Below are 26,346 nucleotides of genomic sequence, written 5' to 3'. Positions count from 1 at the left end.
TATTTTGAGATATGTCCCATCAATAACTAGTTTATTGACAGTTTTTAGCATGAAGGGCTGTTGAATTTTGTCAAAGGCCTTTTCTGCATGTATTGAGATAATCATGTGGTTTTTGTCTTTGGTTCTGTTTATATGATGGATTACCTTTATTGATTTGCGTATGTTGAACCAGCCTTTCATCCCAGGGATGAAGCCAACTTGATCGTGGTGGATAAGCTTTATGAGGTGCTGCTGAATTTGGTTTGCCAGTATTTTACTGAGGATTTTTGCATCGATGATCATCATGGATATTGGTCTAAATTCTCTTTTTTTTGTTGTGTCTCTGCCAGGCTTTAGTATCAGGATGATGTTGGCTTCATAAAATGAATTAGGGAGGATTCCCTCTTTTGTTATTGATTGGAATAATTTCAGAAGGAATGGTACCAGCTCCTCTTTATACCTCTGGTAGAATTTAGGTGTGAATCCATCTGGTCCTGGACTTTTTTTGGTTGGTAGGCTATTAATTATTGCCGCAATTTCAGAATCTGTTATTGGTCTATTCAGGGATTCAGCTTCTTCCTGGTTTAGTCTTGGGAGGGTGTATGTGTCCAGGAATTTATCCATTTCTTCTAGATTTTCTAGTTTATTTGCATAGAAGTGTTTATAGTATTCTCTGATGGTAGTTTGTATTTCTGTGGGATCCATGGTGATATCCCCTTTATCATTTTTTATTGCATCTATTTGATTCTTCTCTCTTTTCTTCTTTATTAGTCTTGCTAGCGGTCTATCAATTTTGTTGATCCTTTCAAAAAACCAGCTCCTGGATTCATTGATTTTTGAAGGGTTTTTTGTGTCTCTATCTCCTTCAGTTCTGCTCTGATCTTAGTTACTTCTTGCCTTCTGCTAGCTTTTGAATGTGTTTGCTCTTGCTTCTCTAGTTCTTTTAATTGTGATGTTAGGGTGTCAATTTTAGATCTTTCCTGCTTTCTCTTGTGGGCATTTAGTGCTATAAATTTCCCTCTACACACTGCTTTGAATGTGTCCCAGATTCTGGTATGTTGTGTCTTTGTTCTCATTGGTTTCAAAGAACATCTTTATTTCTGCCTTCATTTTATTATGTACCCAGTAGTCATTCAGGAGCAGGTTGTTCAGTTTCCATGTAGTTGAGCAGTTTTGAGTGAGTTTCTTAATCCTGAGCTCTAGTTTGATTGCACTGTTGTCTGAGAGACAGTTTGTTATAATTTCTGTTCTTTTACATTTTCTGAGGAGTGCTTTACTTCCAACTATGTGTTCAATTTTGGAATAAGTGTGATGTGGTGCTGAGAAGAATGTATATTCTGTTGATTTGGGGTGGAGAGTTCTGTAGATGTCTCTTAGGTCTGCTTGGTGCAGAGCTGAGTTCAATTCCTGGATATCCCTGTTAACTTTCTGTCTCATTGATCTGTCTAATGTTGACAGTAGGGTGTTAAAGTCTCCCATTATTATTTTGTGGGAGTCTAAGTCTCTATATAGGTCTCTAAGGACTTGCTTTATGAATCTGGGTGCTCCTGTATTGGCTGCATATATATTTAGGACAGTTAGCTCTTCTTGTTGAATTGATCCTTTTACCATTATGTAATGGCTTTCTTTGTCTCTTTTGATCTTTGTTGGTTTAAAGTCTGTTTTATCAGAGACTAGGATTGCAACCCCTGCTTTTTTTTCTGTTTTCCATTTGCTTGGTAGATCTTCCTCCATCCCTTTATTTTGAGCCTATGTGTGTCTCTGCACGTGAGATGGGTCTCCTGAATACAGCACACGGATGGGTCTTGACTCTTTATCCAATTTGCCAGTCTGTGTCTTTTAATTGGAGCATTTAGCCCATTTACATTTAAGGTTAATATTGTTACGTGTGAATTTGATCCTGTAATTATGATGTTAACTGGTTATTTTGCTCATTAGTTGATGCAGTTTCTTCCTAGCATCGATGGTCTTTACAATTTGGCATGTTTTTGCAGTGGCTGGTACTGGTTGTTCCTTTCCATTTTAGTGCTTCCTTCAGGAGCTCTTGTAAGGTAGGCCTGGTGGTGACAAAATCTCTTAGCATTTGTTTGTCTGTAAAGGATTTTATTTCTCCTTCACTTATGAAGCTTAGTTTGGCTGGATATGAAATTCTGGGTTGAAAATTCTTTTCTTTAAGAATGTTGAATATTGGCCCCCACTCTCTTCTGGCTTGTAGAGTTTCTGCTGAGATATCCGCTGTTATTCTGATGGGCTTCCCTTTGTGGGTAACCTGACCTTTCTCTCTGGCTGCCCTTACCATTTTTTCCGTCATTTCAAATTTGGTGAATCTGACAATTAAGTGTCTTGGAGTTGCTCTTCTAGAGGAGTATCTTTGTGGCATTCTCTGTATTTCCTGAATATGAATGTTGGCCTGCCTCGCTAGGTTGGGGAAGTTCTCCTGGATAATATCCTGCAGACTGTTTTCCAACTTGGTTCCATTCTCCCAGTCACTTTCAGGTACACCAGTCAGACGTAGATTTGGTCTTTTCACATAGTCCCATATTTTTTGGAGGCTTTGTTCATTTCTTTTTACTCTTTTTTCTCTAAACTTCTCTTCTCGCTTCATTTCACTCATTTGATTTTCAATCACTGATACCCTTTCTTCCAGTTGATCAAATTGGCTACTGAAGCTTGTGCATGCATAATGTAGTTCTTGTGCCATGGTTTTCAGCTCCATCAGGTCATTTAAGAACTTCTCTACACTGTTTATTCTAGTTAGCCATTCGTCTAATCTTTCATCAAGGTTTTTAGCTTCTTTGCAATGGGTTCCAGCATCCTCCTTTAGCTTGGAGAAGTTTGTTATTACCGATCATCTGAAGCCTTCTTCTCTCGTCAAAGTCATTCTCCGTCCAGCTTTGTTCCATTGCTGGCAAGGAGCTGCGTTCCTTTGGAGGAGAAAAGGTGCTCTGATTTTTAGAATTTTCAGCTTTTCTGCTCTGGTTTCTCCCCATCTTTGTGGTTTTATCGACCTTTGGTCTTTGATGATGGTGACATACAGATGGGGTTTTGGTGTGGATGTCCTTTCTGTTTGTTAGTTTTCCTTCTAACAGTCAGAACCCTCAGCTGCAGGTCTGTCAGAGTTTGCTGGAGGTCCACTCCAGACCGTGTTTGCCTGGGTATCACCAGTGGAGGCTGCAGAACAGCAACTATTGCAGAACAGCAGATGTTGCTGCCTAATCCTTCCTCTGGAAGCTTCGTCTCAGAGGGGCATCCGGCTGTATGAGGTGTCAGTTGGCCCCTACTGGGAGGTGCCTCCCAGTTAGGCTACTCGGGGGTCAGGGACCCACTTGAGGAGGCAGTCTGTCTGTTCTCAGATCTCAAACTCTGTGCTGGGAAAACCACTACTCTCTTCAAAGCTGTCAGACAGGGACGTTTAAGTCTGCAGAAGTTTCTTCTGCCTTTTATTCAGCTATGTCCTGCTCCCAGAGGTGGAGTCTACAGAGGCAGGCAGGCCTCCTTGAGCTGTGGTGGGCTCCACCCAGTTCGAGCTTCCCAGCCTCTTTGTTTACCTACTCAAGCCTCAGCAATGGCGGATGCCCCTCCCCCAGCCTCGCTGCCACCTTGCAGGTCGATCTCAGACTGCTGTGCTAGCAGTCAGCGAGGCTGCATGGGTGTGGGACCCTCCGAGCCAGGCACAGGATATAATCTCCTGGTGTGCCATTTGCTAAGGCCGTTGGAAAAGTGCAGTATTAGTGTGGGAGTGTCCCAATTTTCCAGGTACCATCTGTCATGGCTTCCCTTTGCTAGGAAAGGGAATTCCCCGACTCCTTGCGCTTCCCGGGTGAGGCGATGCCCCACTCTGCTCTGTGGGCTGCACCCACTGTCTGACAAGCCCCAGCAAGATGAACCTGGTACCTCAGTTGGAAATGCAGAAATCACCCATCTTCTGTGTCGCTCATGCTGGGAGCTGCAGACTGGAGCTGTTCCTATTCAGCCATCTTGGAACCTCCAGAAGTCATAGGAACTTCTAAAGGAGCTGGGTCAACCGTGAATTCTTGAAACTGACCCCCTGGGGCCCCTTGCTAAGACAGGCTCCGCACTCAGAGAAGGTGATGGGAGTGGAATAAAAATGTATTAGAATGGATCAAACAGAAACAAAAGAAAGAGAAGGCCTAGACCAAAGGGGTGGGGTCAGAGAAGAACAGAGCCAGGAAATCCCAGGAAGAAAGCTGTCATGTATTTTGATACTATTTGAAGGGATTGTGCTCCCTTCTAAAAGTCTGAGAAAACTAATTTCACATAAAAATGAGCAACAGAAAGTATCTAGTGGAATCCCAAAGTTATTGTGAGAGAAAAAGGAGGAGAGTAACATTCTAACAGACAATGAAAGCTTTCATATAAAACCAGAAAAAAAATCTGCAATCTACTAATTCAGAATAAACGAAAGACATTAAGAAAATGACACAAAACATCAAGGAACAGATAAATTACAATTTTAAAAACTCATGAACTAGGTGGCAGAACTCAGGAAAGAATTAGAAATAAACAAAAAAACCCACCTCAGAAACGAAAACTAAACTAGAAGAAATACAAGAGTGAATAAACATAACAAACAATGGTTTAAGAAAAATAGAATGTGAGCAGGCTAAAAAATTTTAAATAAAAAAGAAATGAATACAGGTAAAAAAGGACTCAAGAGAAAATGATGAATATTTAAGATAAAGAAGACTCAACATACAGACAACAGGCATCCTTGACAAAATAAACAAAACAAGGAAACAGGGTAATGATAAAAACTACAATTCCAGTATAAAGTACAAGTGTATCACACACTGTTATCCACATACAAGAACTCAGGAAATATTGTTCCCATAATCCCTCTTGTATCTAGTAAAGAATAAGCTTAGACAACAAAAAACTAGAGCAGTGTTGACCTATGGTCTAATGATGAGTATTAAGTATGTACATACTTGAGAACTAAGACAAAAGGAGAGTATTCAATGACTATGCTTTGATAGTGTAGCTATGAATCCATAAATAATGGGGGGGAGAACATTTGTAAAAAATGTTTTTAACTATTTTTTGGTTTTCATTATGGGTGCTGGTGGTATTAGTACTGTTATTCTGAGACTGTTCTGTGTGTAAGATGGGATAAATCAACGGAGTAATTTAATGGGAGATTGTATCATCTCCTGTGTCTTTCAGAATTAGGGTTCTCAGTGTGGAAGAAAGAGAAATACATAATAGAAAAAAACTTAAGTAAAAATCTTGAAAGTCCTGAATTTGAATTGGAAATACTAACTGAATTTATGAACTATTTTATCTATCCACATAAAAGACCTAGAAATGACAACCACCCCAATAGTAATGAACATCCCTGGTAACAACAATGTGTTCTTGCACTACCATTTCTCACTTAAAGAAACCCAGATTTCTTGAAGAAAAGACTGATTCCAGGTCTGGGACAGGGAAAGCACAAGAAATCATGGATTATCTTGTCATAACAGACAGAAAGACAGCTATGAAAGACTCCACAGGTCATGTTAAAGGACACAGATGCCAACTTGAAAAGGCTTCCATTAGCCAAAGGTAAGATAATATGAATTTCAATAAGGATAAAAAATGCGGTGGGTGGTATCCTTCAAATATGCTTAAATGAAGATCATAATGACCATAAATGATAATTTAATATTAACTGGTCACCTTCAGAGAATAAAAGGGAGCCAATTCATTATCTTGAAAAAAGAATTAGCTGGGTGTGGTGGCTCACCCCTGTAATCCCAGCACTTTGGGAGGCCCAGGCAGGCGCGTCGCAAGGTCAAGAGTTTGAGACCAGCTTGGCCAATATGGTGAAACCCTGCCTTTACTAAAAATACAAAAATTAGCTGGGCATGGTGGCAGGCACCTGTAGTCCCAGCTACTCAGGAAGCTGAGGGAGGAAAATCACTTGAACCCGGGAGGTGGAGGTTGCAGTGAGCCAAGATCGTGCCACTGCACTCCAGCCTGGGTGACAGAGTAAGAGACAGTCTCAAAAAAAAAAAAAAAAAAAAAAGAAAGAGAAAAGCATTTAGCCTGCTGATCCTGTAAGAACTGATGAGAGATGAAAGAAGCATCTCTTTATAGTATTATTCCAGCTAATAAAAGAAAATGAAATGATAGAATTACAAAATCATCAGTTTTCAATCCCCAGCATATTAATTGAACTAGGTATTGAACAACAGCTAATATAATAACAGTAGGTGTAAGAAATTTCTTCTGCTAGCTTCTTTTAAATTTCTGGCTACAAATCCTCTTAGTGTTAAAATCTTCCAGCCACTGAAAGGACACAGTACCTGATAAACTGTTCAGAAAATAAGCTTGTTTTTACTTTTCAGAGCTGGATATCTGTATGGCCCTATAGGCGCCTATGGGTGTAGGAAACTTCTGCTAGAAGAACATCACAAAAAGAGAAAAACAGATGTTATCTACCTTTTAATGAAAAATAAATACCACTACTTACTGCCTTGCTAAAGGAACAGACCCTGAATCTGAACAAACTTCTGGATCCAACTGCCAATTGCAGGAAATTCAGGGACAGAAGAACATGATGAATGGCACCATAAGCATGCAACTGGCAAAACCCAAATTGTGGGAGATGCTACAGTCTAAACAGAGTCCTTTAACAGGAACTTGTAAAGAAAAGAAAAGGCTGGGTGGAGAACCTGTAGATTAAAAGATACTGTAAATATATATTATTTATTTTAAAATAGATAAGACTAAACTAGAATCTAAGGATGCACACTTGTGCAATAAAACCAAAAAGGAATATAAGGAATTGGTTACTACAGAGTCAGAATGATGGTTACCTTTGGAGGGAGGGAGAGTAGGATGGGGCTCATGGAAGGGCTTCTGGAGTGACTGGAAAAGTTCCATGTCCCAACTTGGGGAGTGGTGACAAGGAGGTTTGCCTTATAATAATCTATACATTTATTTTCCTTGTTTTTTAATTTAATAATTTAAGAAAGGGTAAGAAAATATATTGTATTTTGATAACATAGAACTTAAATATGAGGTAGAAGATTGGGACTTGAGGAAAAATTAAAATGTCACTGTGCTTCTTACCTATTAATATCTTACTAAAAATGTGATATCTTATGCGGATAACATTTGTTCTAGCATTGTCTTGATTTAGCAAATAAAAATATAATATTGACACTTACTGAGCACTTAATATATTCCAGGAAATTGATGTCAACTAACCCCTTTAATCTTTTCAATAACCTAGGACTTGATTACTATTATCTCTACAGATAAGAAAATGACTCAGAGAAGACATGTGACTTGCCCACATGACAGTGCTCTAAACTATACTTCCCCCTGTTCCTTCATTCATTCAACAAGTATTAACTGAGCACTACTATGTGCCTAGCATCGTATAAAATAATGAATACATCAGGGAGTAACAATGATTTCTGCCTTTGGAGGATTTATAGTCTAACAGGGGAAGACCAACAACAAGCATAATAGATAAGCAAATAGCCTAATGCATTAGAGGGTGATACGAATTTTTCAAAAAAGAAAAAGCAGAGCAGGGAAAAGGGGCTAGGGAGGGCCAAGGAAGGACACAGAGTAGGAGATACAGGTTGCAGTATAAATTAGGGTTTCAGGGCAGACAGCATAGAGGTGGTAAAATGTGAGTTAATAGTTGAAGGAGGAAAGGGAGTCAGCCATGTGGCTATCTGGGGAAAGAGTGTTCCAGAAAGAAGAAACAGTTAGTGCAATGGCTCTAAGGCAGGAGTGCTGGTGGGTTAGAGGTACAATCACTTGCCAGTGTCAGTGGAGCTGAGGTAGGAAGAGGAGTAGTAGGAATGAGATCAGAGACACCAAAGGAACAAGATCATGGAGGACTTTGCAGGAAACTGAAAGACACTGAGCAACATGGAAGCAATTGCAGGTATTTGAGCAGAGGGGGCTCATGATCTGACCTAGGTTTGCAATTGATCATTCTGTCTTCTGTGTTTGCAAATAGCCTATAGGGGCAGGGGTAGAACCAAAGAGACCACTTAAGAGGTGGCTGCCGTGATCTAGGTGACAAATAATGGAAGAGTAGACCAGGATAGTGGGCAGATTCTGGATTCCAGAATAATTTGAAGGTAGGGCCAGTAGAAGTTTTTGACAGATTGGATATTGGGTTGGGAGAGAAAAGAGTACAAAGTTTTTGGCCTGATAACTGCAGATACAGAGTTGGCATCAAATAAGAGTAAGATTTAGGGCAACAATCAGTATTTCAGTTTTGGAAGAAGTGAGTGTAGATAGGGAAATAATGGAAGGGAAAGGAAGAAAAGGAAAAAGGAGAGAAGGGAAGGGAAAAGAAAGAAAGGGAAGGACAAAGAACTGAGCCCTCAGATCCTCCAATATCAAGAAATTGGAAAGAAAAAGAGAAAGGAGACTGAAAAGGAACAAGAGAAGCAGGGGGAAAACAAAGATTTAATTAAATGGCTCAGACAATAAATCTATTCTTAGAAGAACAAATTTATCACAAGAAGGAATATGATGCTAATTTTAGGAGGACTAGAGATACAGTAAGATAGTCATTATATAATCTATTCCCTGCCCACCTACCAGTTGGAAACAACAATGAAGAAAGGAATCAAAGGACGACTTTGGAGGAAGGGTTCTAGTACATCACAAATCATTCCTTTGTCCATTCACTTTTACTCATTCGTAGGTTCAGCAAAATTTATTGAAGCCATGCAGGCGGTCAGACAACCACACTAGATGTTGGGAAACCATCTATGAACAAAGCGGAGTATCTCATCTCAGGAAGACCAGTGTGTGACATCACCAAGAGACTGGGAAACTGCAGCAGACTGTGGTATCTGAGGGTCATATAATGCTTAGAAAAAGGGATATTGGGAATTGGCCTCATGAAGAGCAGAAGAACAGCTTTGAGATGCTGATCTGTGCCCCTATGAACCTAACTGAAGCTTTTTTATGACAAAAGACATATTGAAAATGAAACAGTTTAGAGCAGGGGTGTCCAATATTTTGGCTTTCCTGGGCCACACTGGAAGAAGAATAATTGTCTTGGGCCACACATAAAATACACGAACATTAACAATAGCTGATGAGCTAAAAAAATACATTGCAAAAAAAATCTCATGTTTTAAGAAAGTTTATGAATTTGTGTTGTGCTGCATTCAAAGCTGTCCTCAACCACATGTGGCCGGCAGGCTGTGGGTTGGACAAGCTTTGTTTAGAGCCGTGAGGATCCTGAGTTCAAATTAGACACGAAGAGCAGAGGGCAAAGATACTGGAAATCAAATGTCTTCTCTCGAGATTCACGTTGATCCCTGGGTGACAGAGCAAGACTCTGGCTCAAAATAAAATAAAATAAAAAAGATTCACATTGATGTGTTAATACTGAAAAATGCACCTGAGTAAAAGAAGGCATTTTTCTTCTGAAATCAAAATAGACATTCCTAAGCTGTGTGATACTTGGACAAGCAGCCTCTTCCCTGAGCTGACCTGGGTCCTAAGAGTATTGAAAGGAAATGGTGCTTGGTGGATGCAAGTGCCTAATACTTTGTCACCACAGGTCCACTTTCTCATTTCCCCTTCATACAGTTAGTACTTACAGGATTGTACTGGCCTTGTCTGCTGTACACACATATTTGCTAAATTGTCTCTCAATGAATTGGTCATTCAGCAATTTTTCTTTCTGGAGAATTGGCTCTCAGTGACTTGGCTTGCTTCAGGGGTAAAGGTGTTGGAGGAGCTGGTTGCAGAAACAGATATGATGGAGGTAAAGGAAGTCAAGCTTCTTCTAGAAGGAAAAACCTAGTCACAATAGCAAATCCAGAGCAAGAAGCCTTAACTAAGTCAGCATAGCCTTCATGTATGCTTTCCAGGGAGCCAACCATGCAAAGAGCATTGGGTTACTATCAGGGAGGGAGACTGAAGTATAACAATATCTGGCAAGTAACGCAAAAGAACTTAGACACTTAGACATCTGTAACCTATACATGAGTGTTGCAAAAATAAAAACCTCTCACTGATAGGGTTGGTTATATATTTTTTGCAACAGTAAGAAAAGAGCTGTGCACTTTTTTTTTACTCAAACCTGCAAAGAAAAATGTTTAAGTGTTTATGAAGTAAGGCTGATTAAAATTACATTTACAGTTCTCTAAGATTCTCTTAGAGATGTTCAAATTAATGTGCTTTGGGAGTCATTCAGAAAAGTACCATTTAAGATAGGAAGAGAGAAGAAATAAAGCAACAAAGAATTGTATAAGCAAGGAATGAGAAAATGAGTAAATTGGATATTTTATTAAATTATCTAAATTCATATTAAATTATGATCACATTTATAGAAAGAATTGTATATTTATAAATGATTGGAGTAGCAATCAAGAAATGTGATGTTAGCAGATTTTGTTCAGATTGAAGAGTAAAAAATAATATTCTTGGGCATTTCTTCCTAACAAAGACAAATTATTTAGGTTCTAGAGGAAACCTCCAGTGACCTTAGGAATAGGAAATAAAGGGCCTGGTGCGGTGGCTTATGCTTGTAATCCCAGCACTTTGGGAGGCCAAGGTGGGCAGATCACGAGGTCAGGAGTTCGAGGCCAGCCTGGCCAACATGGTGAAACCCCATCTTTACTAAAGATACAAAAAATTAGCCAAGTGTGGTGGCACGTGCCTGTAATCCCAGCTACTCAGGAGGCTGAGGCCGGAGAATCACTTGAACCCAGGAGGCAGAGGTTGCAGTGAGCCGAGATCGTGCCATTGCACTCCAGCCTGGATGACAGGGTGAGACCCTGTCTCAAAAAAAAAAAATAAATTAAAAACAACTGTCAGTATATTGGAAGTCAGTAATACTGGGGATTTCCACATTCCATTAGCCCATTTTCTACTCAAAGAAAGAAGGTAGTAGTAAGAGGGCTAGGGATACACTGACCTTATCCCATCAGTACAAGTAGACCAGAAGATCTCACTACTAGAATATTAATTCTATAAGGACAGGGACCAGGCCCATATTGTTCTAGTGTCTGCAGCAGGGTCTGATCAGGAAATGTCTGCTGATATTGAAAAATCAAATCAATATCCTACATACATGATAAGAATTCAACAAATATAGGATGGGTAGATAAATAAATAAGTGAGGAAATGGGAAGAAGGCAAAAGAAGGGAAGAAGGGATGGGAAGGGAGGAAGGGAAGGAAGCAGGGAGGAAGAGAGGAAGGAAGGAAGAGAAAAATGAAAGAAAGGAAGGAAGGGAGAGAGAAAGTAAAGAAGGCAGGGAAAAGGAAGATAAGAAGTAAAGAAGGGAGGAAGGGAGGGACGGACGGAGGAAGGAAGGGAGGAAGAGAGGGAGAACGGGAGGAAGGAAGGGAGGAAGAGAGGGAGAACGGGAGGAAGGAAGGGAGGAAGGGAGGGACGGAGGGAGGAAGAGAGGGACGGAGGGAGGAAGGAAGGGAGGAAGGGAGGGACGGAGGGAGGAAGAGAGGGACGGAGGGAGGAAGGAAGGGAGGAAGGGAGGGAGAACGGGAGGAAGGAAGGGAGGAAGGGAGGGACGGAGGGAGGAAGGGAGGAAGGAAGGAAGGGAGGAAGGAAGGAACGAAGGAAGGAAGGAATGGAGGGAGGAAACAAAGAAGGAAGGAAGAAAGGAAGGGAGAAAGGAAAGAAGAAAGGAAGGGAGGAAGGAAAAAAAGGAAGGTCCTTTTGAATATGGGAATGGAGATGATGGCTATGAGAGCAAAGGCTCTTTCTAAGCTTGATCAATAGCAATGACAGAAGGAACTCATCTGCCAATAAACTATCACAGACCACAGACACTACTTTCTTACATGGCCACACCTCCTTTGACTCATTATTTCACTTTTCTCAGATTTATGTTCAGTGGGGTAGTAAGCTGGGTCTCCCCCTAATGTGGGCTACTGCCATGATCCTCACTCTCTTCAAATCCTTCAGATGGATCATCAAGTTGGACTCTGGGTGATTTGGGCTTCAGCATCACCCTTGGATCCTCACCTTACAGATTGCTCTTAATTTTTCAAACTACAGCCCTCAGAAAATCCTACCCAATCCCAGAGTGGGTTTTGCTAACTCACTGCAGCTTGTCCAGCTAATGAACAGAACAAATAGCATTCCAGTTCACCAGGTGGCCTCGTAAACCTCACAAACAATTGCCAGCATCTCCAGGTCCCTCAAGACCCTTTTCAACTATTACCACCATTTTCCCCCTCTGGAGATAAGCACTCTCCTGACTTTTACAGTAACCACTTCTTCTTTATAGTTTTATCACCTAAATGTGCTTCCCTAAATACTGTGGTTTAATATTGCCTGTTTTAAATTGTATATTAATGGAATCAGATTGCATGTATAGCGCGTATTCTTTTTAGTTAGAATTCTTTAGTTCAACTGTATGTTTGTGAAATACAACCAAGAAGTTAAGTTTGTTGGTTTACATTACTGTACGTATTTTATTATATGACTATTCAAAAATTTACATAGCTGTTCTACTGCTGATGGACATGTGAATTTCTAGTTTAGGACTATTATGAACAATGCTACTATAAACATTTTTGCACATATCTTTTGGTACACATAACCAGTCATTTCTATTGGGTATATACACAAGAATACCACGGTTGAGGTGTAGGGTATCTGCATGTTCAACTTTAGTAAATAATGCTCAACTATTTTCCAAGGTATACCAATTTCATTTCCCATCAGTTCTCTTATAAGAGTTTCCATTGCCCCACATATTGATAGTCTTTATAATTTTAGTACTTTTAGTTTATGCATAGTAGTATCTCATTGCGATTATATTTTGCATTTCCCTGATTAATAATAAGGCTGGGTATCTCTTCATAAGAATATGGGCTATCTGGATATTATTTTGTGAAGGGATTTTCCTATGGGTTACCTATTTTTTTCTTAATAATTTGTAGGAGTTCTTTATATATTTCGGATACACTTTGTTGGTTATAGTTACGGCAAATATCTCCCCACTCTCTGTAGTCTGTCTTTTTTTTCCTCATGCTGTGTTTTCAGTTAACAGGAGATCTTAGTTTTAATGTACTGTAATATTCCAGATTTTTCCTTCATAATGAATGCTTTTTGTGTTACATTTAAGAAATCTTGACCCCATGATCATAAAAATATTATCTTACATTATTTTTTGAACTATTATTATTTTGCTTTTCACATTTTATAGATAATCTACCTTAATTTTTATATATGGTGTGAGATCAGGGTTAAATCTAATTTTGTTCCTATTTATATCTAATTAATGCTATACAAAAGGCATCACTTTCCTGCTGCTCAGCAGTGTCACTTTTTTCATAAATCAACTTTCCATGTGTGCATGGATCTATTTCTGGGCTGTTATTTATTTTACTTGTCTATTTTAGTGGTGATACCAGCATTTTCAGATACATATTAAAATCAGATTATTAATTTCCACAAAAATGTGAGAATGTTTTTGACTGGATTGCTTTGAGCGTATAGACCTATTTGAAGAAAACAGACATTTGTATAATATGGAATATGGAGCCATCAATCCATAAACATGGTCTATCTCTCCACTTTTTAGGTCTTTAATTTTTCTAGAAAATATGTTTTACATTTTTCTGAATAGAGGCATTATACACCTTTTATTAATTTGTTTTTAAATATTTGACACTTTGGATGTTACTGAACATAGATAGATAGATAGATAGATAGATAGATAGATAGATAGATTTTTTTTTTTTTTGAGATGGAGTCTCCCTCTGTCACCCAGGCTGGAGCGCAGTGGCGCGATCTCAGCTCACTGCAACTCCAGTCTCCCAGGTTCAAGCGATTCTCATGCCTCAGCCTCCCATGTAGCTGGGACTGCAGACGTGTGCCACTATGCCTGGCTAATTTTTGTATTTTTAGTAGATATGTTAGCCAGGCTGGTTTCAAACTCCTGACATCAAGTGATCCTCTCATCTCAGCCTCCCAAAGTACTGGGATTACAGATGTAGGCCACCACACTTGGCCTGAAAATATATTTTTAAAAAACTAAATATATTTAAAATTGTTGCTATTACATAGAAATTTATTTTTATATGTTTTATGTTTCTAATAATCTTGTCAAATGCATTTATTAACTATTTTCAAGCTTTACACTATTTATTTCTTGTTTATGCTTTATTGCACTGGCTATGACCTCTGACACCATGTTGAATTACTTATTTATTATTCTACTCCTTCCCCCAATTAGATTAAAAGTAATACATTTCCTAATCTTCTTTTAGTATCATCCTAGAGATTAAAATATGTTTTCTTGACTCATCAAAATTTGATAATCTGATATTATTACATTTACCCTCTTCCTAGACTTCAAATGCAAGGATTCTAGAACATTTCATCTCCATTTATACCCTTCTTGACTTATTATAATTGTTGTCATAAATTTAGTTTCATTTTTAATTTCTATATTTTAATTAAACATTTTTTATTGAGGTAAAATATACACATATAATTTACCATCTTTACCATTTATAGATGTACAGTTAATGGTGTTAAATACATTTATATTTTTTCCCTTCATTCCCCATATTTTAATTTTATACATTTTAATTCCATGTATTGTTAAAGCCATTGCTGTTTTATATAGTCAGCAACTCTTTAGATTTACTCATGTATTCAGATTTACTCATGTATTACCCTTTGTCTTGTTCTTCATTTTTTTCTCTATCTATGACACTCTCTATCTGAAATCATTTTCATTCTGCCAAAAGAAAATTCTCTACTGTTCCCTTTCATGTAGGCTTCCTGTGACAAATTCTGTTTCTTTGTCTAGAAATACCTTTAATTCACCTTCATTTTTGGATGATATCTTCACTGGGTCCAAAATTCTAGGTTGGCAATAAGTTATCACCTTAAAGATATTCTTTGTCTTCTGGCTTTCATGAGTTCTTTTGGAAAGTCGCTGTCAACCTAATTGTTATTACTTTTTTTGAAAGTAATTTTATCCCCTATGACTGCTCTTTAGGTATTTTCCTTTGTTTTTAATTTTAGTACAATATGATTTCAAAACAAATATGTGTCTAAGTTGGGTTTTCAAGATTTATTTAATCTATGGCTTGATGACTTTTATCAGGACCATAAAGTTTCAACCATTATTTCTTCAAATCTTGTTTCTCTTCCACTTCTTCTCTCCTTTTAGGATTCAATAACATATGTTAGAACTTCTCATGTTTGCTTTATGTCTCTTATTCACTCTTCCACTATATTTCCCATCTTGTTATGTTTCTAAGATTTATTTTTCTTATCAACTTTTCAGTCTATTAATTCTCTCTTTAGCTGTGTCTAATTGGGTATCAATTTCAGTTACTGTTTCCCCCCAGGTTTTATAATTTCAATTTAGTTATTTTTTATTGTCTCCACTTTTGCTGAAATTTACATTTTTGTCTTATATCTTGGCCATTATAAATGCAGTCACATTAAAGTCTTGCTTTGATAACATCAATGCTTGGAGGCTTCAAAATATGTATTTAATGCTGCCAAAATCTGAAGGCTCTTGTAGGCCTGTTTCCTATCATCTGGGGATTCTGTTATTTTTAGTTCATGTTTTCCCATGTCCTTATGTGCCTGGTTATTTTTCATTATGCATTAGACAGTGTATTTACAACATTATTTATATATATTTTTTCTGCCATGGACCTAGGGACATCTGGGATCTTTTGAATATAATTTCAGAAATAAGAGTACTTTAACTGTGGCTCCTATGAAGTCCTGACTTCTTTTTGTTCACCTTTACTCCAAGGTTGCAGGCTTTCAGTTACCAACCTAAAGAAAGCATCGTTCGCTAAGTTTACTTCCCTGATGGACCTCATACTTCGATGTTATTGTCCTAGTTCCACAAGACTCTCAAAGTGTCAATTCAGCCCTCAACCATGTCTACCTCAATTAGCAAAAGTCCATAGGAATAAGTGGCCTCTGGTACCAGGTTCACCTCTCAGGATCATCCTCCCCTAATGCCTGGCCAGATAAACTTTCACTCTTCTGTTTATTCTCTGATCCCTTCAAGTAGATATTTTTTTAATCCAGATTTTCTAGTTGTTCTCAGCAGGAAGGTTACTCTGAATTACCAGGTCTGCCTTTAGTGGAAGCAGAAGTCCAATTAACCACTTTTCAGGTATCTGAAGGTTCTTGGTGATACAGGGATGCTGATGATCGCCCAAAGGAGAGCTGCTGTTCTTGAATATAAAGAAGTACAGCTGAGGGCCTGAGTCCTTCCTCACTCCCTGCCTACCATCACTGACATAGCGACAACATTTGTTCTGTAGTCAATCATTTACAAAGAAGTTTCATGTGCATCTGACACAATGACATTGTAAGATAGGTATTATTATTTCTCTGTATGTACTTTACAGAAGAGGAAATGGCATCTCATAGCAGGTAAGTGGCTTTTGTAAGGTTACCCAGTAGATGGCAAGGCTGTCACATTATTCAAAAGTTAGCGCATTTTTCTCTTGGGTCAAGAAGCCAATAGTTAAATGGAAATAGAAATGAACATAGATGAAATACACACATAAACATGTACTTACCCAGCTAGTTATGACATGTGCCATATGTGACTACCAAGAAATAAGACTGGTTTCCTTAAGACACACACAAAACCAGCCTCGTTATTTTGTAATCACAACTTACACACATGTCATTGCATGCGATGGCCAAGGGAAGAGAATATTAGATTACAGAGGCGGTATAGAGAAGGCCTCATGTACACAGTGAGTTTTGAGGTGGATTTGAGCGGGAGAGAAAGAATGCAATCTTTAACATAAGTGGGAATGGTGCTTCAGAGAAACAGAAACAGAACCAGAAACACACACACACACACACACACACACACACACACACACACACATTGGAGATGGGAATTTCTACCTTGTCCATCACTGTCAAAGCCCTCATAATAGTTTGCAAAAGAAAATATAAACACATTCAATGTACACTTAAGACACCAAAAAGCACAAAAATGCCTTTTTTCTTTTGGATAATTTAAGATAAATGTTTTTGACAGAGACAGCTGCAATTACTTTCTTCCATCCACTAAAAAGTTCCAAAAAGACATGGAAATTTACCTTGGGAAGGTAAGATGAGAAAAAACAACAACTTCTTCTTAGGGTTGCAGTGAGGGGTATGTGAAATAACCTACACAAAAGCTCTTTCTAAATTATAAATGCTGCATAAAGGCAGTGTGTGTTCTCTAACACACATCATAATGTCTCACGGAATCTTCTGTTGTGATGGTCTCAGAAAGGTATGTTGCTTGTTTTGCAGCATTATACCAGCTGTGCAAAAGGTTAACAACCTATGAGATCTCCTAAAATGTGATAAATACTTGCAAATTCCAAGAGCACTGAATTCATAATCTTTAAAAGAAAAATGAGGCACCAAACATAATCTTAGGTGAATTCACCCACATATATGACAAGAGCAATTCAGTATTATATTTGCCCTAATTTCTTAAGAGTGAATCTGTTAGTTCTGAGGGAGTTTGATTTGCTTTTCTATGAAACTACCTTGTTACATTTGTATTTCCACCTAAACTACTAGCACTGAGAGGCAAAGGCACCAGAACCTCAGGGCTCTGCAAATTACTACCATCAGGGATCAGTAAATGCCACAGTGCTGACACTGGACACAACACATGCTCCACACTGGGTTCTAGATGCTGTGGATTATGGGGGCTGCTCAGTTTCTCAGGGAGGGGCACTGCAGGCAAGGAGCAATCTGGTGTAAAAGTTCATGAAACTGTTTCCAGTAACAGGTGGCCTGGGATATTGGGTCCTTTCCCCCACCAATCATCACCAGGGTGGCCCCTTCCACTCTCACACTGCCTTTTTATCCTCTCCTCTCTCCAGTTTCCCCATACTGTCTTCATTTTATATTAAAATGTTACGGCTGAATCACAGTTAGGAGCACAGAGTGGGTTTTTTTTTTTTTTTTTTTTTTTTCCAGTTCTGTTCCCCTGTCCCCAGCCCTTAGTACCTTATTGCCCTTGACCAACACTTTTTTTTTTTTCTTTTTGAGATGGAGTTTCACTCTTGTTGCCTTGGCTGGAGTGCAGTGGCGAGATCTCCGCTCACTGCAACCTCTGCCTCCCTGGTTCAAGCGATTCTCCTGCTTCAGCTTCCTGAGTAGCTGGGACCACAAGCGCGAGCCACTACACCCGACTAATGTTTTGTATTTTCAGTAGAGACGGGGTTTCACCATGTTGGCCAGGATGGTCTCAATCTCTTGACCTCAAGATCTGCCCACCTCAGCCTCCCAAAGTGCTGGGATTACAGGCATGAGCCACCACGCCCAGCCAACCAGCACTCTCTTTAATTAGGCCCCAACATTTTCTAACAGGTGATATTTAGATTGGACATTTTTTTTTTAGCTTTTATTTTAAGTTCAGGGGTATATGTGCAGGTTTGTTAGGTGAACTTGTGTCATGGGGGTTTGTTGTACAGACTATTTCATCATCCAGTTATTAAGCCTAGTACCCATTAGTTATTTTTCCTGATCCTCTCCCTCCTCCCACCCTTCACCCTCTGATAGACCCCAGTGTGTGTTGTTCCCTTCTATGTGTCCATGTGTCCTCATCATTTATAAGTAAGAACATGTGGTACTTGGTTTTCTGATCCTGCATCGGTTTACTAAGGATAATGGCCTCCACGTTCCTGCAAAGGACATGATCCCTAAACACGTTTAAATAAACCATGAATACCCATTAAGTGGAAGAGGGGTGCAAGTCAATGGCATGTGCTTCTGCCTATCAGTGTGAATCCAGCTGTGCATCAGGACAGCCCACCTGGGAAATGGGCTGCCTCTGATTGTCAGGGTGCAGTCTTATCACCAAGGATTAAAGATGGACAGGATTTAGTGGTCTGAAGGTTTGCACTCTGGATTTCCATGTCCCAAGGGGACATTAAAGAACTGATGCTGTATTTGAAAGTCCAAGAAGCATCAAGCCACACCATCCAAGAAGGCTGGAATACCAAGGGCAGGAGAGAAAGCTGTGGGCTGATCTGGAAAGAGCTGGATTTCCCAGGACTGGAAGGACAAAGAGTGATAGGTTCCTCATGCAGAGGGAGCCTTACCTGTTGACTTCTACCCATTACCCCAGGTATAGCAAGATCTCAGGGGTAGGTATAAGAAAAAAACCTACTAGTTAGCTGGGCTCATTGACTCATGCCTGTAATTCCAGCACTTTGGGAGGCTGAGGTGAGAGGATCACTTGGGGCCAGGCGTTCAAGGCCAGCCTATGCAACATGTCAAGACCCTGTCTCTACAAAAGAAAAAAGTAAAAGAAAAAAGCTACTAATAGTAGGAAAAAGTAGGATATGGAGAATACCAGGGCCACTGGCTCAGAATGGGATTCAGTGCCTTAGATGAAAAGCATCTCCATGTCAACCATGGTGGTTATGAGGCTAGAGGCCCTTCTGCAATTTCCCAGGATTGTGTAACTCTCGGGATTCTTGAACTTAATCCAAATATGGGAAGTGATCCCCATTTCTAACGACATTTGATTTCCCAGAAATCCTGGTGAGATGGGAACAATTCCAGATTTCATTGATTTTGGATAAATATGACTTTCCTACACTCAGTATCATGGAACAAATTCATCTTATTTATAGATGTTTAGTGGGCACCCACCTACCCCCTGCTGCCTCTGAGAAGCCGCAGCCTGAGCCACAGGTCGTGCCTTCTGCCCTGCCACAGGTGACCACACAGGCAGGCTAATATGACCACCACAGCATGGCTTGAAAAGTCAAGCTGGGCTGGGTAGATTCTCCTGCCTTCAGCGACTTGAATTAAAGAGATGGAAGGAAGTTGCCGGGAAGAATGAGCACAGAGCCAAGAGGCCTAGGACAGTCAGGGCTGGATGGCGCATGAGAGTAGTGCTCAAGCTAGTGGGAGCAAAGCCTGTGGGTGAATGGAAGAGGCCAGCCAGGAGAGGGAGGGCTACCACATGCAGGAAATAGAAGCAGGGAGATACTGTTTCTTGCACCTAGAACACCCAACAACTATTGTGACTCAGTAAGAGTAAAATGTATATAGCATACTATATCTGTATATGCCCCAGCCTAAGACTTTTTGCCTGAAGTAATCAGTAATCAGTCTGATTCTTTTGACCACTGAACACTGCCAATGGTTCTGACTTGATGCACCTATTTGTTTAGAACAGGCTATCCTTGGCGGGGCATGGTGGCTCACACCTGTAATCCCAGCACTTTGGGAGGCCGAGGCAAGCAGATCACCTGAGGTTGGGAGAGCCTCACCAACAAGAAAAACCCCATCTCTACTGAAAATACAAAATTAGCTAGGCATGGTGGCGCATGCCTGTAATCCCAGCTACTCGGGAGGCTGAGGCAGGAGAATCGCTTGAACCTGGGAGGCGGAGGTTGCGATGAGCGGATATCACACCATTGCACTCCAGCCTGGCAACAAGAGCAAAACTCCGTCTCAAAAAAAAAAACAAAACAAAAACAAAACAAAACAAACAAAAACAGGCTAGCCTTAAGGAATCACAAGGAATTGACAACCAAAACAAAAAGTTCTGTTGCTTCTGCAGCAAATTGCAATTGCAATTAAGTCTCTTTGTATTCCCAGATCATCACATAAAAATGATTACAGATGGAAAACAAGTACAACCTAATCTGAATGCAGTGCCAATTTTGCATTCCACACTCCTGTGCATGCTGCTTTCTCAAAACTTTCAGAGAAATAAGTTGGGACTAAGTGATGCGACTGGTTTAAGAAGTGCTAAGTTATAAAACACGGACTCTTTGAGTGGACTCACTTTTCAGGCTCAGCCCAAGAATACTCAAATTTATACCCTAGCAACAAAGCAAGTTTTCCCTTGAAATACATCTTTCACTGCATTAATTTTCTTGTAGTGCTTTTCTGTTCTTACAAAATAGAAGATTTGAATGTCAGAATTTTCACTGGGAGCCCAGGAGAAAGGTACTCACAGAATCTGATATTGAATATTCTACTTTTAGAACCAGTGTCTATTCTCAGGGATGTACAAAGAGTCAAAATCCTGTCTTCAGCTGACACTAGTGAGAGAATAATTTTGGGGAAACTTATTAGTCTCAAAATATTAAATCCCCTCTTTGTCTGACATTGTATAGAGCTCAGTTGTGGCTTCACCCCTTCTATTCCTCTCTTACCGCTGGTGTTTTTTTGGCTGAAAGTTTGGCCCAAAATTTAATGAGGTAGTTTCTGTCTGTAGAATGCAGGAAATCACCCATATTCGAAGAAATATACTTTGTAGGATGCGCTTCAGGTTTCAGGTGGGATGTCTTAACATCTGGTAGGAAAAAAAAATAAAGTTTAAAATAAAAGTCATAAAGGAAATTTCTGAAGTGATAGAAATGTTTTATATTTTTATTTGCCCAAACATAACAAGCTGGATACTTAAAATGTGCGCATTTCAACTTTAAAATAAAATAAAAATATATCTTAGAATAAAATAACTCATAATAATAAAATCAGCCTATAATACCTAATAGATATATCCTCCGAATATACCCAATACTTAATCAATTCAGGCTTATAAATAAAATCAAAAGAAGTAAGACATGTCAAAAACAGTGGCTTCTAGATATTTAATTGAAAAATTACCCTTATAATGACTTTTCATTTGATGAAAGTCCAAAAGGCTAAAAGGAAAATAAACTATGCAATGCTAAGAGGCTTTGAAATAGAATGGAATGATGAGCCCACTGTTTCACAGAATTTATTCATAAATAATATCTAATATTTCCTTTAAGATGTTAGAATGTTCAGAGACCTAGAATATAAGAATACTGTATAAATTTTTATTACTGCTCATTCACAGAGGGCTAGGAGTAAATAGCTTTGGCTATATGGGAGCATCAACAATTTCAGGAGTATTGCTTTTAAAATGCTAAAATAAATGATATCCACATGTACCTTCAGTCAATATGATGGACTGAGCAGAAGTGGAAAGCTACCCCCACCCAAAGATGAAAAAAATACTAATATATAACATAAATTTGTTTTGTTTTTAATAGATAGTAAGGCGGAAACTAAGAAAGAAAATTTTCTAGGCACTACAAGTGTAGTGAAGACTCGAAGTCAGAGGAGTGGGAATTGATGCTAAGAGGTCACAGGGCATCAGGGGCTGAGGTTTGAATACATGGTATGAGAGGGGGAAGCCACAGCCCCTGCATGCTTGGCACACAAGACCCGACTTGGCCAGGTGCAATGGCTCACATCTGTAATCTCAGCACTTTGGGAGGCTGAGGTTGGCAGAACACTTGAGCCCAGGAGTTTGAGACCAGCCTGGCCAACATGGTGAAACCTCATCTCTACAAAAAAATACAAAAATTAGCCTGATGTGGTGGTGTGTGCCTGTAATCCTAACTAATTGGCAGGCTAAGGTGGGAGGATCACTTGAGATCAGGAGGTAGAGGCTGCACTCCAGCCTGGGTGACAGAGTGAGACCTGCCTCAAAACAACAACGACAAAAGAAAAAAAAAAAAAGAAGAAGAAGACCTGGACTGTTTGATAAGTTGACAAGTTGGAAAAGGGGTATCTGGAAATGTCAGTCCACAGATGTAGGGACTTTGCCTGGGGACAGATTCTTACCTAACCAGACGATAGAAACACCTGTAGGAAATCAGACTCTACTTTGGTTTGGAATCTGAACTTGAACTCCTCCCAAACTGTGTGGCAATCCCAAACCAATAACACAAGGTAAAAGTTGTTGCAGACAAGTAAAACTATTTAATCATGGTAAGGAAGTCTAAAGTTCCACCTAGCCCCTGTCTTGAGAAAGGGAGCTTGAACAGATGCAACAAATGGGCGAGGACTATATCAAAAGAATTTCAGGTAATAGAACAATATAGAAAGGAATATTAAAGAAACTGTGTTTAATCACAAAGTGACAAAATGAGACAACTGTATGCAGAAACATTCTCTGTTGAATCTCTGTGATAAAAGCCACTTGACCCATATTTATTGAGCACCTGCTACGTGCCGACTGGTGCTCTAGATGCTGGGGATACAGCAGTAAATAAAAAGTTCTTGACCTGTGGGGATTACATTCTAATATTGGAGTCGGACAAATAACACGTTAAATAATATCAAGTAACGACAAGTGTGATGAAGAAACAGGAAGCTGGATGAGGGGACAGCATGAGAGATGGCATGGTGGTCAGAGGAAGTCCACCTAAGGTGGTGACATCTTGAACAAATATTAAAAGGCATAAAGAAGAACAGCATTCAAGCATCTGGGGGAAACTAGATCAGACAGGAAAAGTGGCTGGTATAAGAACATAGATGTATCCTTAATATAACTTCATCACAGTAAAGAATTCAGTGTGGCTGAGGCAGAAACAGAGAGAGAGAGACAGAGAGAGAGAGAGACAGAGAGAGAGAGACAAAGGAGGTGCATCCTGTGCTAATTTATCTTTTGGAAAAATCCCTTGTCCTGTTGATGTCACTCTAAGTACAGCGCATTAGGAAAAAGACTAGATGAACTGGAACCATATAAATAAGATAAAATTTAAAGAAACAAAAGCTATATTCACTGAAATAATTTCCATAGAATAGATCCTACATAATACATAAAACTTTATTCAAAATATAGTTTTTGTGTCCGGGTTCCTTTTTCCAGTTTTCTAAGACATAAGTTGCCTGTACTGTGGTGTAAATAAGTCAAGTTCCATCTGATGACACAATGCAGCTGTAATTCCAAAATAGTGTCTTAATGATTTCTTGGGAACAAAACGTTTTGGGTGAAGATAATGTGTTTAGATTACTATTAAACTACATTGTAATACTGCCGCTTTAACGACTTGAACTCCTACAATAAAGACTTTCATAGAGTTCTTAATATATTGTCTAATGTCTTAGTACATCAATGGACAAAACAGCTTACTTCCCAATTTAAGGAAAAAACCATAATTACCAATGTTATAATACCATGTGACAAATTTTCTTAATGTGATTTTATTCAAGCTATCTAAATTAAAGTCAACCTTGAGGCAACATTTTAATATGTATAAACTACTTTACAGTCCACAAAAAGAACCAAGTTCTTCAGTATATAGGCTAGTTAAATTTATTTAAATACCTGCAATGAAGCATAAATGAATTTAATGATCCCAGGCAGATTTTTAAAGTTATTTTATGGATTAGTATCATTACAAATGCAGGAAAATATAAATGAAGTATCTGGAACAACTGGAACCATGTTTCAAATTACTTCTAAATGGCTTAGATCTTTTATGTTAGACATACTCATTTGAAATCAAACAAATTAAAACAATATTTGTATAAAACATTTTAAAACAATAAGCATAAAATCCAACCTAAACAACAAAAGCAGTAGAGGCCATGTACCTAAGAATAAAAGATTTGTATGTATATTTCACATTGTATCATCAAACAGACTAAATAGGGCCATTTACTGCAAAAAGGAAAGTTAAAAATAGAAGATGTTGATGATCTGGTATCACAGGCATGTAGCCAGGTCAATAATTAGTGATGAACTTACCATTTGGGGGTCAAGTTATAAATATTTTGAAAAACAAAAATCTCTATTTTAATGACAAGTGTTTCTACATTAATAAGATTTCTTATACAGCAAGGCAATTTAGTCATTCTCCTGTCCAAAAATATGACTGATTACTTTTCAAAATGAGCTTTTGACATTTAAATAAAACCTTGCAAAAAAAATGTATCAACACTAGAGTTGATCTCTCTTTGAAAGCACTTAGAAATGGATGACTTAGAAACAGACTTTAATTTTTAAATAAAAGTCCTGAGATGCACAGACAACTTCAGAATCACTTATTTTTTCCCCACTCAAATGGGGCTTTGTAATCCCAGCACTTTGGGAGGCCGAGGCAGGCGTTCACTTGAGGTCAGGAGTTCGAGACCAGCCTGGCCAACATTGGCAAAACCCCATCTCTACTAAAAATATAAAAATTAGCTGAGCATGGTAGCATGCACCTGTAATCCCAGCTACTCGGGAGGCTGAGGCAGGAGAATCACTTGAACCTGGGAGGCGGAGGCTGCAGTGAGCTGAGATTGTGCCACCGCACTCTAGATTCCAGCCTGGGAGACAGAGTAAGACTCCATCTAAAAACAACAACAGCAACAACAAAACCATATAGTGAGGGTTTTTTTTTAAACAAAGGAAAAAATAACAAGAATAATTCATACCTACAATGATTAAATGCATATATACATATGATGTAAATACCTGTAAAATTAAAATCTCTGTAAGTCTTGATACTGAAATATGTAGTCATAAAAAAGAGCTTAAAAGAAAACAGAATAATCTGCTATTGAATTTTAAATACTTTTAATATGATAGATAATTTGTAGTGGAAAATTAAGACAAAAGTTTAGTTCATTAAGAAGTGCTATCTCAAAACTAAAGGTGGCAAAATAAGCTATTTTTCTAGGACAGAATTACATCTTAAAAGTCTTGTCTATCTGTGCTTCTAAGAAAAGAATAATATCAACTAGAAAAATAATAATTTTGCATAGTATCCATGATAATTTCCATAGCAAAATAAACTTTTAGAGTAGAAAGTTATCACATAAGTCCAAGGAAATACAGTAATAATGTTGTAAATAGTCATGTTATATATGGGAAAGTGAATACATTTATTAAACTATACTAACAGTGAAGTGCTATATTCTTGAGTGTCTAATCAAAGGAATAATTAGTTATTTAAACAAAAACAATTTCTATATCAAGAAAAAGGAAAACATACACATTTACATTCATAAGAGCAAATAAAGTACAAAAACGTTCTTTTCCAGTAAACTTCATACATTGTAATGTCTTCAGTGGAGGTGAACTAATGGGTCAATATTTGGGCCTTGCATCAAGAATGTTCCAATTAAAACATAGAGCAATAAGGCCCAGAATTCCGAAAAAAAAAAAAAAAAGGATGAGTATTTAATGAAGTAGTTACTTGACACTTTAAAGAAGATAAAACACATAGAACAGGTAAATTTCAAGAGTGGAAACTTGCTATATATGATCTGTATTAATATAGCAGATTTTGGGAAAGAAAAGAGGTAGCAATGATTGGCAGGAAGCTTCAATATACGCTAAAGATTTCCTTTCCTTCAACTAACATGTTCAAATAACTGTATTTCTGATGGGATTGCCACCCAATCCCACACCCTAAGCATGATCTTTGCTTGCTAAGGGCTTATCCTTCAAGAATAACCTTTTCAAAGATGTTACTTCATTGGTCACTTTCTCCAGCAAAAACATTCTCTGTCTTTCTTCACTTTGCTTTTCTATTTTTATCCTAGGACACTGAGGGTATATAGATCTGGTAATTGTAGAAGCTGGTCTTTGTCTCAATTGAGCCACAAA

The 26,346-nt window shown here is 38.6% G+C and overlaps 1 protein-coding gene across 6 annotated transcripts in view; it reads right to left on the bottom strand.

The window, feature by feature from the left end:
- Positions 1–26,346, bottom strand: part of LRGUK (leucine rich repeats and guanylate kinase domain containing) — a 149,346-nt gene that overhangs the window by 33,625 nt on the left and 89,375 nt on the right. For 4 of the 6 annotated variants that reach the window (XM_024446659.2, NM_144648.3, XM_047419890.1 and 1 more), the window contains one exon: positions 21,143–21,282. In XM_024446659.2, coding sequence (XP_024302427.1) covers positions 21,143–21,282 — 140 coding nt within the window. Of the gene's footprint in view, positions 1–20,450; positions 21,029–21,142; positions 21,283–26,346 lie in introns of those variants that run through there. The other 2 variants (XM_024446662.2, XR_002956408.2) reach the window with 2 other exon arrangements.

The sequence above is a fragment of the Homo sapiens genome, chromosome 7 (genome assembly GCF_000001405.40).
Source record: "Homo sapiens chromosome 7, GRCh38.p14 Primary Assembly".
NCBI classification, from domain to species: domain Eukaryota; kingdom Metazoa; phylum Chordata; class Mammalia; order Primates; family Hominidae; genus Homo; species Homo sapiens.
The sequence above is the reverse complement of the archived record's forward strand: the minus strand, read 5'-3'. Positions and strand labels throughout refer to the sequence as shown.